Source organism: Homo sapiens, chromosome 14 (assembly GCF_000001405.40).
Source record: "Homo sapiens chromosome 14, GRCh38.p14 Primary Assembly".
NCBI lineage: Eukaryota > Metazoa > Chordata > Mammalia > Primates > Hominidae > Homo > Homo sapiens.
This window is the reverse complement of record NC_000014.9, coordinates 80,889,356-80,904,023: the sequence shown is the minus strand read 5'-3', so window position 1 is coordinate 80,904,023 and position 14,668 is coordinate 80,889,356. Positions and strand designations below refer to the sequence as shown.

The window sequence follows — 14,668 nt, the reverse complement described above, 5'->3', positions numbered from 1 at the left end:
TTTGACATACTGATTTCAGTAGCTTTGGGTATATATCCAGAAATGGGATTAATGGGTCATATAGTAGTCTTATTTTTAGTTTTTGAAGACCCTCCATACAGTTTTCCATAATGGCTGTACTAGTTTACGTTCCCAGTAGGGTACAAGGGGTCCCTTTCCTTCATGTCATGTCCAACACTTATCTTTCATCTTTTTGATAAAAGCCATTTTAACAGGTGTGAGGTGATATCTCACTGTGGTTTTAACTTGGATTTTCCTAAAGTTTACTTTTGCTGAATATTTTTAAAAATGTACCTATTGACCATTGTATGTCTTCTTTTGAGAAATGTCTGTTCAGGTCCTCTGCCCATTTTAAATTTTTTTTTTTTTCGCTATTGAGTTGTTTGAGTTCTTTATATATTTTGGATATTAACGCCTTGTCAGACATATGGTTTGCAGATATTTCTCCCATCCTGTGGATTGTCTCTTCACTTTATTAATTGTTTCTTTTGCTATGCAGAAGCTTTATATTTTGATGTGATCTCATTTGCCTGTTTTTTGCTTTTGTTGCTTGTGCTTTTGGGGTCATATCCAAGAAACCATTGCCTAAACCAAAGTCATGGAGCTTTTTGCCTATGTTTTCTTCTAGTGGTTTTACAGTTTCAGGTCTTATATTTAAGTGTTTCTCCATTTTGAGTTGACTTTTTTGTGTGTTATAAGGGCCTAATTTCATTATTTAGCATGTATATGCAGTTTTGTCAACACAATTTATTGAGGACACTATCCTTTCCCCATTGTGTGTTCTTGGCATCTTCATAAAAAATCAGTTGACCGCAAATGTGTGTGTTTATTTCCGGGTTTTCTCCTCTGTTCGTAGATTGATGCATCTGTTTTTTTCTAGTACCATGCTGTTTTGATTACAATTGCTTTATAATGTTTTGAAATTAGGGAGTATGCTGCCTCCAGCTTTGTTCTTTTTAGCTCAGGATTGTTTTGGCTATATGGGGTCTTTTGTCATTCTATATGAATGTAAGATTGTTAATATGGGATTTTTCAGATAAACTAGTTTATTTTCAATGTACAAAGTATCTTTGTTTTGAGTTTTGTTATGGAGGATTATATATTGCAGAACATTTAAAAGTGAGTTTAATTGGACGTGTTTTGTTTCCTTTCTTGTTCAGCACATTTTTTGTAAGCCCTGCTAAGTCTGCTACTTTCTATTTTACTAAGTTTGGTTTAGTATGAACAAGTTAATCTTTGTGTGATTGATCTACTGATTTTTCTACCATTAGTGTTTTTTTCTGATTGTTGAATCATTGATAGAGCCATTTTCTACTAAGTAAGAAATTCCATACTTTATTCACTAAAGATTTCTGAAGTATTAGTTGTGTGGAAATCTTTTTCTGCTTCTTTAAAGTTCTCTGCAGAGCTGTAATTTTTCCTTTTGTTGTCTTAAGTAGCTAAATTAAATAGAAAAGGGCTGGGGGAGTTCTGCACTTTGACCTCTTTGTTTTGGTAGTTTTAGGATTAGGTACTCAAAGTGTATCTTAAGATACTCATCTGTAGCTGTCACTTGTTACTGCATAACGAGACAACACAATCAAATGCATTAGGAAACACCCTGTGGAAACTTTTCCTTGACTATGTTATTTTTTTGATAGTTGCACCTTGCTAGCATGGACTATGTGATGAAGCCCAGAACAGAGAACAATATCTTAACATTATTCATTTACTCTTTCCTTCTGTTTATTTAATGTCTCTGTCATTGGGATAATGCTTACACTTGGAAACAGTGATGAGCAGAAACCTTGTCTTTTAATAAGTTTATATTCTAGAGGAGGAGCTAGATATTAAATAAATACATAAATACAACCTTATTTATGAACTGAGATGCATGCGATAGTGGAAAGATGCATAGGGCTACAGAATTGTATGGTAGAGGACATGCCCCAGTTAAGGAGGGCTTCCTGAAGAAAGGCTGACTGAGCTGAGATCTGAAAGTTGAGTAAGAGTCATTCTAGGTAGAACAAATGGCTTGGCAGGAGGGAAGATAGCCCCTATGAGCAATTTAAAGAAGGCCCACGAGGCTAAAGAAGTATGAAGGGCTGAGATTATGTAGAGCCGTGTAACAGGGCTGACAAAATTATTTTGAAAAGATCACTCTGGCTGTAGTGTGGAAAATGGATTCAATGTGGGTGAACCAATTAGAAGGATGTTACTGTGTTCTGGATGTGAATTGATGGTCACTTGGATTAGGATAGGTGGAGCTGGAGAGAAGGAGGTAGAATTAAAAGCATTTTAGTGGATAAAATGGAAAGGTCTTGAAAATTAGATAGCCATGTGGGGAAGGTAGGAATGAGTGAAAAGGAGGTGTCAAGGATGCATCCCCGGATTCTGGTTTGCTAAATTGGAAAATCATGATGGCAAAACTTAAGTTTTTCATTCACTATACTACTTCACTCCTTTCTTTTTATGGTTCTTCCTCATTAAGTTCATTCTCAAGGTTACCCTTAGCTCCACTTGACTGTGTACTTTCTTAATGCCCCCGTAAAAAATTTGTGGTTTGTTTACATATCTGGCTCTCATATCAGATTTTGAGCCACTTCTCAGTAGCTGGCACTAATAAATTGCTTAATGTGCATTTTGTTGAAATGAATCAATTTGTTGTTTCTGCAAGTCTGTTTAACGTAGTTTTATTATAAATCATACTATTTATATTCAGCATATATATTTACAGTTAAAGTTACAATAATGAGAATGAACACCATGTAACCCTCACCCAGGCCACTAAATAAAGCATTATCATACCCCCAAGCCTCTTTTATTTATTTTTTTTTTTGAGACGGAGTCTCGCTCTGTCGCCCAGGCTGGAGTGCAGTGGCGCGATCTCGGCTCACTGCAAGCTCCGCCTCCCGGGTTCACGCCATTCTCCTGCCTCAGCCTCCCGAGTAGCTGGGACTACAGGCGCCCGCTACCACGCCCGGCTAATTTTTTGTATTTTTAGTAGAGACGGGGTTTCACCGTGTTAGCCAGGATGGTCTCGATCTCCTGACCTCGTGATCCGCCCGCCTCGGCCTCCCAAAGTGCTGGGATTACAGGCGTGAGCCACCGCGCCCGGCCACCCCAAGCCTCTTTTATACTCCATCTTTTCCCAAGGGGTATCCACTGTCCTGACTTCATACATATCCTGACACTGTTTCTGCTTTAAAAAACAATTTTTTTACTTTTTTAATTTTTACTACCTACATCTTATTTATGGGATACTACTGTAATCTTTTGTAACTTGCTTATTTTACTTGATGTTATGTTTTTGACATTCAGCTTTACTAATGCGTAGGTATCTATGATTGTTTTGTTTTCACTGCTATATCATACTCCGGTGGAGGAATATACCACCATTTATTTATCTTGGTGTACATTTGGTTTCTCATGTTCTCATTGTGAATAATGCTGTACCATACTTTCTTGTACATGGTTCCAAGTGTACATGAGGAAGAGTTTCTGTACAGCAGGAGTTGGCAAACTAAGGCATTATAGGCTGATAGAATAAAATTTTATTGTAATTCAGCCATGCTTATTTGTTTACAGTTACTTTTGCACTACAGTGGCAAGATTAACTGTGACAGAGACCATATAGCTTGTAATCCTGGAATAGTCGCTATTGGGCCCTTTACAGAAAAATTGGCAGACCGGTTTTCTCCTTCTTTCTCGCTCTCTCTTTTTTCTTTTTCTTTTGCTCTGATTAAGGAAGAAGCAGACCCCTTCTAGAGGGGTAGAATTCTGGAGGAGTAGAATTGTACTGTAGAAAATGTGTTGATAAATGTTATATACAGCTTTTAAAAATTTGTTTTTCTTGGAAAATTTTTTTCTTTCAGAGTAGGTGTTTTCTTTCATAATAATATTACGGAATCTGGTTATTATTGCAAGGAACAAGATCTTATTCTTACCTTTGGTGAATCTTCATGGAAGAATTCAACAGAATTCTAAATGGATAACTGTGTTTTGCCTTTGCTAGCTTCATGGTTTTCATCAGTCTCTTCGAGACCTCAGCAGTGAACAAATTCGCCTTGGAGATGATTTCAACAGGGAGCTTTCCAGAAGGAGCCGGTAAAAGCAGCCTATGGTTTTTATGGGAGGGATAAATTATGAGGAGAATAAATTAGCTTCTGTAATTGACATATTTATCTAGATTTTTAAAAAATGTTGTGTTTGTATACAGTACCTTAAAATTTATTAACAGAACAGTTTACAGCCCTTTGAATTTAGAATATATCATGACTCAGTGTTAGACAAATTAATTTCCTTTTTCTAAAAACGCTTTAACTTAATACAATGGAATGCTGATATTATGGAGGGGTACACTGTGAGACTTTTGCAAAGAGGTAGATTTGCAAATACATTGGAGAGAGAGACACAAAGACCGACTCGCTACCTGACTGACTTTTGGCATTGCACACACCAAAAAAGAAGTGTAACATGGAGTTTGTCAGTGGACATAAGCCATTGTAGAATCCAATACTTTAGCTTTTAGTTGAAATCTTTGAGGGTCAGTGGTTAACATCTGCCCCATCTTCACAATTTTGTCAATTCTGGATAGTCCCCAATAGCTGTTATTTAATTTAAAACTTCTTTGCTGTCTTTTCATTTTTGTCATCACCAGTGGCAGGTGGCTTTCTTTTGGAGGCCATGTTTTGCTGAAAAACAAAGATTTTTATGCCTTCTTAAGAATTACAATCCATATACAGCAAATATTAGGAACAATAAAGCTGAATTGAAATTTGTTTACCATATTTGCTTGCTAACTCCAGCTGTCTAAATCATCCCACACACCAGTTCTGTGTTGCTGCAACAAAGATAGTCAAAACTATAAATGTTAAATCTATGAATATCAAGTATAGGCTGTAATGAGAATGAAAAATTCTACCATTATTACTAGTTCTATTAGCTAATATTATTGAGCCCTTATTTCGTGATTTAACTTTAATTCTAGTAACTACCCTTTGAGGTAATCATTATTTTTTTCTCTATTTTATGGATGAGGAAATGGGCACAGAGAGATGAAATAACTCAGCTCTCTAGAAATCAAACAGGAGGGTTGTAGTGGAGTCAGAATTAAAATCTAGGCAGTAAGGCCCCAAAGCCTCTGTTCTTTATCACTTACGGTATATGGTGGTTCAAAATCATTTTCACATGTGGCTGATATGAATAAAGCATTTGAATTCCTGGATTGTGAGATATATTATTGAGCTATATTGCTAACCTTTTAAACTGGTAAGACTTAGTTAATTTAATATTTAGGTTATTATTTTTTTTTACAAGCTGATAAAATTAACAAAATGACATTAACACTTTAATGTATTGTAGGAATGGCTTTATTACATGACCATTATCCATTTCAAGGAAGGGTATACATTAAGCACTGGGAACATGAGTTATAGGGAATAGTTGTCTTGTAAGAAGATTCAGGGGAAGTTGCAGGGATGATTTAGTTGATTAGTTTAAATGGTGATTTGAGTAACCAATATTGGACTGGGCTGTTAGTATCTGGTAATAGTTTTTGTGATCTCTAGGCTTGTAAGATCTGGTAATAGTCTTTGTGACCTAGAGGCATGTTTGAGGCAGAAAACTTTGTTTTACCCAAAATAGGAGTTAGGTTTCTTGGGAAATGAGGTGGCTTACCTTTGTGAATGTGTAAAATTTCTGGATGCCGTTCTGCTTTACTTGTACTACAGATTCTTACTTCATGTTTATAAAAATAATGGACAGGAAGTTAAAAAGTTTAACTTTCTATTTGATGTTGAAAGGTTGGTATTCTCATTTAATTACTGATTTTTCACTTTTGACATTTATTACAAAACATACATTGAATAATAAAAGTACACTGGGAAGCAAACTTTTAGAAAGGATTAAGTAAAGTTTAATTCAGAAATCACCTACTTTGGATGCCATATGAAGAATTGATTTGGACCGGGCACAGTGGCTCAGGCCCATAATCCCAACATTTTGGGAGGCCGAGGCAGGTGAATCATTTGAGCTCAGGAGTTTGAGACCAGTCAGGGCAACATGGTGAAACCCCATCTCTACTAAAAATACAAAACAATTAACCTGGAGTGGTGGCACATGCCTGTGGTCCCAGCTACTTGGGAGGCTAAGGTGGGAGGATTGCTTGAGCCCAGGAGGTTGAAGCTGCATTGAGCTGAGATGAGCCACTGCACTCCTGCCTGGGTATCAGAGTGAAACCTGTCACAAAGGAAAAAAAAATTGATTTGAGGAGGGCGAGATAGAAGTCTGTTGCACTAGTATATGAGAGTTGATGATGGCCTGACCCAGGATTATAGCAGGAGAGAGATGGACAGGGGTTTGTTTGAAGATACTGTTTTTGGAAATCAAAGAGACAGGATTTGGTAATGGTGGGTGAGGGAGAATAAGGATGACTCTAAGATTTTCAATTTGAATAACTAGGTAGATGGTAATTCCACTTCCTGAGATATGGAAGACTGGTTTGGGTAGGTGAGGTGTAGAGAGTTTGGCCTTGGATATGTTTAAGATGCCTGTGAGACGTTCAAATGGAAAGTAAAATATTCAGCTGGATATTTACTATGGAGCTCAAAGGAAAAGTCTCTGTTGAGGTAAAATTTAAGAGTGGTCAGCATGGAGAAGTGTCATTTGGAACCATGGGAATGGGTAATACCAAGAGAGAAACTATAGGGAGGATATCAAGGACAGAACTGAGTTGCAAGGAGTTATAATATTTAGGAATCTTATGATAGAAGGAGCTGAGCTGAGATGGAATAGCTAGTGAGATGGGGGAAATTCTAGATAGCATAGAACCACAAAAGCCAAGAAAGGGGCTCTAATATTTATGGGTGTTGTGTCAGGTTCTTGCAGTTTGCTCATTTTTATTATTCTTTGTTATTCCACTGTGTGGATATACAGCAATGTATTTTAACATTCTATACATACATACAGAGAGACATTTTCAGAGGTTTAAAGTCTTTGAAAATTTATCTTTTTAAGGTAACTTCTTTTTGAGGAAATTACCTAAGGATATATAAGTTAAATAAGATTGTAACCAAGAAATAGAAAGATAAAGATATTAAGAAACAGTAAAATTAACCTGGGGATTCAGTGAAAGTAACCCTGGAATGACAATCATGGAGCAGGCCCAGGAAGTATTCACTCTAAATTAGAGCAGGAAAGTAAGTGTCCTTTGAGAAGAAGGTCTTCAAAAAGAGTGAAATAGATGGTTTGTTGACCATTCAGTAAGAAGTGGGAGGAAAATATCAATGATGTGATAAGTAAGGCCCATATAAAGCCAAAAGATAATGAGAAAGCTTGGAAAAAACAAGAACACGGGAAAGTTATGATCCAAGTGTGAAGCTGGCTAAAATGTGAGCCTAACAGAATGTGAGCACAAAGCATCAATTCCATCAATTTCATAGGATGGAATAATTCATAAAATTCATAAGATGTATAAATATATTACATAAAACTCTACAGGTAACCAATAGAACTAAAAATGGTAATAACATAATCTGAAATTAGAGAATGAGCTAAATATTTCAAAACAGTCCATCGAAAATGTCTCGAGTTGAACATGATGAAGGCAACCAGCAAAATAATTAATAATGGAAATGGTTGTGCATGATTCACAGAGGGAAGTGCAGCCAGAAGTAAGACAGTGCTAGACAGAAGGGCTTTTTCTTTTCATTGTAAATCTTTCTGTACGATTTGTTTGTTTATCATGTATGTTATTAATTTGAGGAGAAACAAGGTAATGGGAGGTCGGTTAGTGAGGATAGAGTTTGTACAGCACACTTTTCTTTATAAATTGCTAGAAAGAGGGTGTAAGATCAAGAGTTTTTGTTTTCTTTTGTCCCTTTCTCTCTTTTTTCTTAATTTAAAATGGGAGATATTGCAACCTGTGTGTTTATTGAGAGTGATGTTCCAGCGTAGCAGCGGTTCTCAAAGTTTGGTCTCCAGACCTGCAGACCTCTGTTTCTGCATCACTTAGGAATTTTAGAAAGGCACATTCTTGGGCCTCATCTCAGATTTGCTGATTTGAAATCTGGGGGGCGGGATCCAGCAGTCTGTGTTTTAACAAGCCTTCCACGTGTTTCAGATGTTTATAACATTTGAGAATCACTAAAGTAGAATATTTTGTAATAACATAATTATCATGTTATACATTTCACTCGTTCTGTGTATTTTCTAAATATCCAAATTTAAATCTTTTTTTTTTTTTTCTTCCTAGGTCAGATGCCGAAACAAAAAGGGCTTTGGAAGAATTGACTGAAAAACTTAATGAAGCCCAGAAACAAGAAGTGGTGAGATCTCTTTTTTAATAAAAAGTTTTATTTCACATGTAGAGGATGGGTAGGCTGGTCATAATCACAGTGAAGTTTAGTAGAGTTTAACCTTTTGGGTGGTATGTCCCATTTTGTCTAAAAGTGTGTTCTTGTAGCTCTTATAAAATGTTCATGAATTTTGGGTACTTATATTTGGTATATTTATATTTAGGTATATTTATTTGGTATTTATATTTAGGGATTTATATTACAGTATTAGCATATTACAGTCAACATTTGTTTTAACTAGGTTAGAGTTTATGATGACTATTTGAAAGATAATTTAAGTTTTACTGGCTCTGATTTTTCTGTAGTTTTTATGAAATGATATTTGAGAAGTAAAGAATTCTTTCACAGTGGTTTTGTAGCACTCCCCATTTTCAGGTCATCTCACATGTGTGTAATTACAATTGCTACAAAGACCTCTTTGCTGTCTGTTTTTGTCTGATATGGTTCCACTTGAAAATACTCCTAATTCCCAATCTTTATTATCTCAAAGTCATATTGTTGACACTCACTGTTCAGTGATTTATTTTTATTAAATCACTATCCTTGGTGGAATTAAGGTAAAAAAATACAGTCTATATAGTGTTCATTTCTTTTTATTGTTTTTCTTTTTAGGAGGAAACCGTTAATGGTCACTAAACTGTTGCAAATTTGTCAACTTCAGGAGTGTATTTATTCATTTATTTATTTCTCATAATACCTTTTTTTCAAGGAAAGTTAGCAAGATTTTCTCTTAATATATTTTATTCAAATTGAAAGTTTCCTAGTAAAAGTAGATAATTTTTCTCCAGTTGTTAATTTGTTTACAGTTCCTTACATAGATATGTTGAGTTCATTTTGGAGTTTGAATTTATTGGCTGAATGTGCTAGGAGATAAAAAGATCAACTAAGTTGATCTTTTTGAAAATAGGGTATTTGAAAATTTCTCTTGTAGTGAAATTTGCTTATTTTAAAAATATGAATAAACACTTGGCTACATAAAAATACTTTTCTTTTGTGTTTTTGGTATTAAGTTTTTTGTGAAGAGCCTTGGAAAGGTGAAGATACAATGCCTGTCTTCTGCTGAAGTAGACAACGTCTTTCCAATTAATGTGTGGCAATGTGGTATCTAATGTGGAATATCAAGATATATTTTTTTTTTGCATAAAGTTCTAGATTTTTTCGGATGTACCAAGGGCACCTTCAATTTACATTGTACCAGTCTAAAATATCTAAAACATCACATACTTCAAAAAAAGGACTTTTCTGAGATTAACAGATTGGTGCTTTTCTTAGTTAATTGCAGTAGTTCACACAGTACGAAATCTGTGCTATTGCCTGATTTACATACTAAACAGGAGCTGAAGTACACATTTAAGAATGTTGCTCTAAGGTCCTCTTTAACTTACTAAGTAATATGCTGTCTCTTCTCATAAATTCTAGAGTGGAACCTGTTACTTGACAAAGGAAACTGCTGAAGTTCTGTCTTCTTTTTTTCTTGTTTCTTTTCATTTTTATAATGTTCTTAATGGGACCGTCTATTGAATTTTAATCCAGTTTAATTTTCCATCTTTTCTTTTGTGATTAGTACTTTTTTGACCTAAGAAGTCATTCCCTATACTTAGATCACGAAGATGTTCTCTTATGTAATCATTTAGAAGCTTATGGTTCTACCTTTCACATTTAGATGTGATATTTACTTGAAATTGGTATTTGTGGTATGAATTAGGAGGAATACATTTCATGTGAATGTTTAATTGATTAACTTCCATTTATTAAAAGGACTACTCTTTCCCCACTACTTTACAGTCGTATCTTTGTCATAAATCAAATGTTCATATACACAAACATCTGTTTCTGGACTCTTTAATCCCCTAGTTTATTTGTCTATCCAAATGCCAGTATTCCACTGTCTTGATTACTGTTGCTTTATATTTAGTTGTGATAGGGATAGAGTAACTCCAAGATAAGGACACATCCATCACCCCCAAAATTTCTTACCCACCCTGCCCTGATTTGCCCTTTCCTTGCCCCTAAAACTCAAGTTTAAATGTAACTATACTTTTTTTGTTTTGTAAATTTTATTTTGTGCATTTAAGCTATGCAACATGATGTTATGGGATATATGTAGATAGTATAAAGATTATTACATTGAAGTAAATTAACATATCTGTCATTTCACAGTTACCCATTTTTTTTTTTTGTTTTGGTTTGTGGCAAGAACAGCTAAAATGTACTTACTTAGCATGAATCCCATATATAGTACAGTTTTATTATCTGTAGTTCTCATGTTATACTTTAGATCTCTAGACTTGTTCATCCTACATATCAGCTACTTTGTATCCTCTGACCTGCATCTTCCCATTTCATCCCCTCTACCCTCTCTGTCCCTGGTAACCACTGTTTTGTTCTCTCTCTCTGTATATTTGATTTCTTTTTGTAGATTCCATATTTAATTAGTGAGATCATGCAATATTTTTCTTTCTGTGTCTGGCTTATTTCACTTAGCATAATGTCCTCCAGACCTAGCCATGTTGTGGTAAATGAAAAGATCTCATTCTTTTTTAAGGCTGAGTAATATTTCATTGTATATATGTACCACAGTTTCTTTATTCATTTGTCTATCAACAGACACTTAGGTTGTTTCCATATCTTGGCTATTGTGAGTAATGATGCAATGAACATAGGAATGCAGAATCTTTACAAGGTGATGATTTTATTTCCTTTGGGTATATGCTCAGCAGAGGGATCACTGGGTCATATGGTAGTTCTATTTTTAATTACTCTTTCTGTATACTCTTGTCAACATTTGTTATTTTTTGACTTTTTAAAATAATAGCCACCTTTGCAGCTGTGATGTGGTATCTCATAGTGGTTTTGATTTGCATTTCCCTGATGATTAATTATGTTAAATACCTTTTGATATAGCTGTTGGTGATTTTTGTCTTCTATGGAGAAATGTCTATTTAGATTCTTTGCCTGTTTAAAAAAATTGGATTATTTGTTTTTCTACTATTGAGTTGTATGAGTTCTTTGTAAATTTTGGGTATTAACCTCATCAGATATATTGTTTGCCAATATTTTTCTCAATTTGTAGGCTGCTATTTCATTTTGTTGATTATATCTTTTGCTGTATAGAGCCTTTTTAGTTTGAAGTAGTGCCATTTATTTATTTTTGCTTTTGTGGCCTGAGCTTTTGGTTTGATACGCAAAAATCATTGCCAACGTCAGTGTCCAGGAGATTTTCCACTATGTTCTCTTATAGGAATTTTATAGTTCCTGGTCTTACATTTAGGTCTTTTATCCATTTTGAACTTATCTTTATGTATGGTATAAGGTTCAGATTCTTTTGTGTGTGAAATTCCAGTTTTCTTAGCACCATTTATTGAAGAGACTCTTCTTTCCTCATTGTATCCTATTGGTGCCCCTGTCAAAAATTAGTTGACCATATCTGTTTGGGTTTGTTTCTAGGTTTTCTGTTCTGTTCTATTGGTGTATGTGTCTGTTTTTATGCCAGTACCACACTGTTTTGATTACTATAGCTTTGTTATATAATTTTAAATCAGGAAGTATAATTCCTCCAACTTTGTTTTTCATTCTTGGAATTGTTTTAGGGTCTTTATGTTTCCATACAAATTTTAGGATTTTTTTTTTTTCCTGTGAGGAATGCCATTAGGATTTTGATATGGATTATGTCAAACCTATATTTTGCTTTGGGTAGTATGGATAATTTAAGAATATTAATTCTTCTGATTCATGAGGATGGAATATCTTTTCATTTATTTTTTCATTATTTTGTCTTCAATTTCTTTCATCAGTGTCTTATAGTTTTCTGTGTACAGGATTTTCACCTTTGTTAAATTTATTCTTCAGCTGTTTTTTAATTTTTAAAACATGAAATATACATATTTCGTGAAATATTTTTATTCAGGCATGCAATATATAATAATCACATCAGGGTAAATGGGAGTATCTATCACCTCAAGCATTTATTCTTTGTTACAAACAATTCAATTATACTCTTTTAGTTATTTTAAAATGTACAATTAAATTCATATTGACTATGGTAGTGCTGTCAAATACTTGGTTTTATTTATTCTTTCCAGCTATTTTTTTTTTTTTTTTTGCACCTAGTAACCATTCCATCTCCTCCTCACCCTTCCAACTATCCTTCTCAGCCTTTGGTAATCAATCCTTGTACTCTCTGTGAATTTGACTGTCTTAATTTTTAGCTCCTACATGTATTGTTTTTCTTTCTGTGCCTGGCTTATTTCACTTAACATAATGGCCTCAAGTTCTATTCATGTTTTTGCAAATCACAGGACCTCATCTTTTTTTTGGCTGAATAGTACTCCATTGTGTATAAACACCACATTTTCTTTATTTATTCTTCTGTCAATGGACACTTAGATTGTTTCCAAATCTTGGCTATTGTGGATAGTGCTGCAATAAATGTGGGGGTGCAGATATATTTTTAATATGCTGACTTCCTTTGTTTTGGGTATATACCTAGCAGTGGGATTGCTGGATCATGTGGTAGCTCTGTTTTTAGTTTTTTGAGGATCCTCCATACTGTTCTCAAAATAGTGCTTACACTAATTTACATTCCCATCAACAGTGTGGGAGAGTTCTCTTTTTTCCACACCCTTGCCAACATTTGTTACTTATTGCCTGTCTTTTGGATAAAAGCTATTTTAACTGGGGTGAGGTGATGTCTCATTGTAGTTTTGATTTGCATTTCTCTGATGCTCATTGATCTTGAGCACCTTTTTGTATACCTGTTTGCCGTTTGTGTGTCTCCTTCTGAGAAATGCCTGTTTCTTTTGCCGATTTAAAAATAAGATTATTAGATCTTTTCCTATAGAGTTGTTTGAGCTCCTTATGAATAATGGTTATTTTGTTTTTATTTTTATTTTTAATTAAACTTTAAGATCTGTGATACATGTGCAGAACATGCAGGTTTGTTACATAGGTATACATGCACCATGGTGGTTTGCTGCACCCATCAACCCATCATCTAGGTTTTAAGCCCCGCATGCATTAGGTATTTGTCCTAATGCTCTCCCTCTGCTTGCCCCTCACCCTGCAACAGGCCCCAGTGTGTGATGTTCTCCTCTCTGTGTCCATGTGTTCTCATTGTTCAGCTCCTACTTATGAGTGAGAACATATGGTGTTTGGTTTTCTGTTCCTGTGTTAGTTTGCTGAGAATGATGGTTTCCAGCTTCATCCATGTCCCTGCAAAGGACAAGAACTCATTTTTTTAAATGACTGGATAGTATTCCATGGTGTATATGTGCCACATTTTCTTTATCCAGTCTATCATTGATGGGCATTTGGGTTGGTTCCCAGTCTTTGCTATTGTGAATAGTGCTGCAATAAACATACATGTGCATGTGTCTTTATAGTAGAATGATTTATAATTCTTTGGGTATACACCCAGTAATGGGGTTGCTGGGTCAAATGTTATTTCTGGTTCTAGATCCTTGAGGAATTGCCACACTGTCTTCCACAAAGGTTGAACTAATTTACACTCCCACCAACAGTGTAAAATGTTCCTATTTCTCCACATTGTTGCCAGCATCTGTTATTTCCTGACCTTTTAATGATCACCATTCTAACTGGCGTGAGATGGTATCTCACTGTGGTTTTGCTTTGCATTCTCTAATGACCAGTGATGGTGAGCTTTTTTTCACATGATTGTTGACCACATAAATGCCTTCTTTTGAGAGGTGTCTGTTCATATCCTTTGCCCAGTTTTTTGGTGGGGTTGTTTGTTTTTTTCTTGTAAATATGTTTAAGTTCCTTGTAGATTCTGGACATTAGCTCTTTGTCAGATGGATAGATTGCAAAAATTTTCTCCCATTCTGTAGGTTGCCTGTTCACTCTGATGATAACTTCTTTTACTGTGCAGAAGCTCTTTAGTTTAATTAGATCCTATTTGTCTATTTTGGCTTTTGTTGCCATTGCTTTTGGTGTTTTAGTCATGAAGTCTTTACCCATGCCTAAGTCCTGAAAGGTATTGGCTGTGTTTTCTCCCAGGGTTTTTTGATTTTAGGATTTATGTTTAAGTCTTTAATCCATCTTGAGTTAATTTTTATATAAGGTGTAAGGAAGGGGTTCAGTTTTAGTTTTCTGCATATGGTAGCCAGTTTTCCCAGCACCATTTATTAAATAGGAAATCCTTTCTCCATTTCTTGTTTTTGTCAGATTTGTTAAAGATCAGATGGTTGTAGATGTGTGGTGTTATTCCTGCAGCCTCTGTTCTGTTCCATTGGTCTGTATATCTGTTTTGGTACCAGTACCATGCTGTTTTGGTTACTGTAGCCTTGTAGTATAGTTCGAAGTCAGGTAGAGTC

General features: G+C 35.0%; 1 protein-coding gene across 15 annotated transcripts in view; it reads left to right on the top strand.

Moving 5' to 3' along the window:
- The window catches only part of CEP128 (centrosomal protein 128), a 482,534-nt gene that overhangs the window by 55,479 nt on the left and 412,387 nt on the right, over positions 1 to 14,668 (top strand). For all 15 annotated transcript variants that reach the window (NR_157142.2, XM_047431023.1, XM_011536493.3 and 12 more), the window contains 2 exons: positions 3,995 to 4,086; positions 8,234 to 8,306. Coding sequence is in view for 14 of the 15 variants with exons in the window: in XM_047431023.1 (XP_047286979.1) it covers positions 3,995 to 4,086; positions 8,234 to 8,306 (165 nt within the window). In the remaining variant the exon portion in view is untranslated. The remainder of the gene's footprint in view (positions 1 to 3,994; positions 4,087 to 8,233; positions 8,307 to 14,668) is intronic.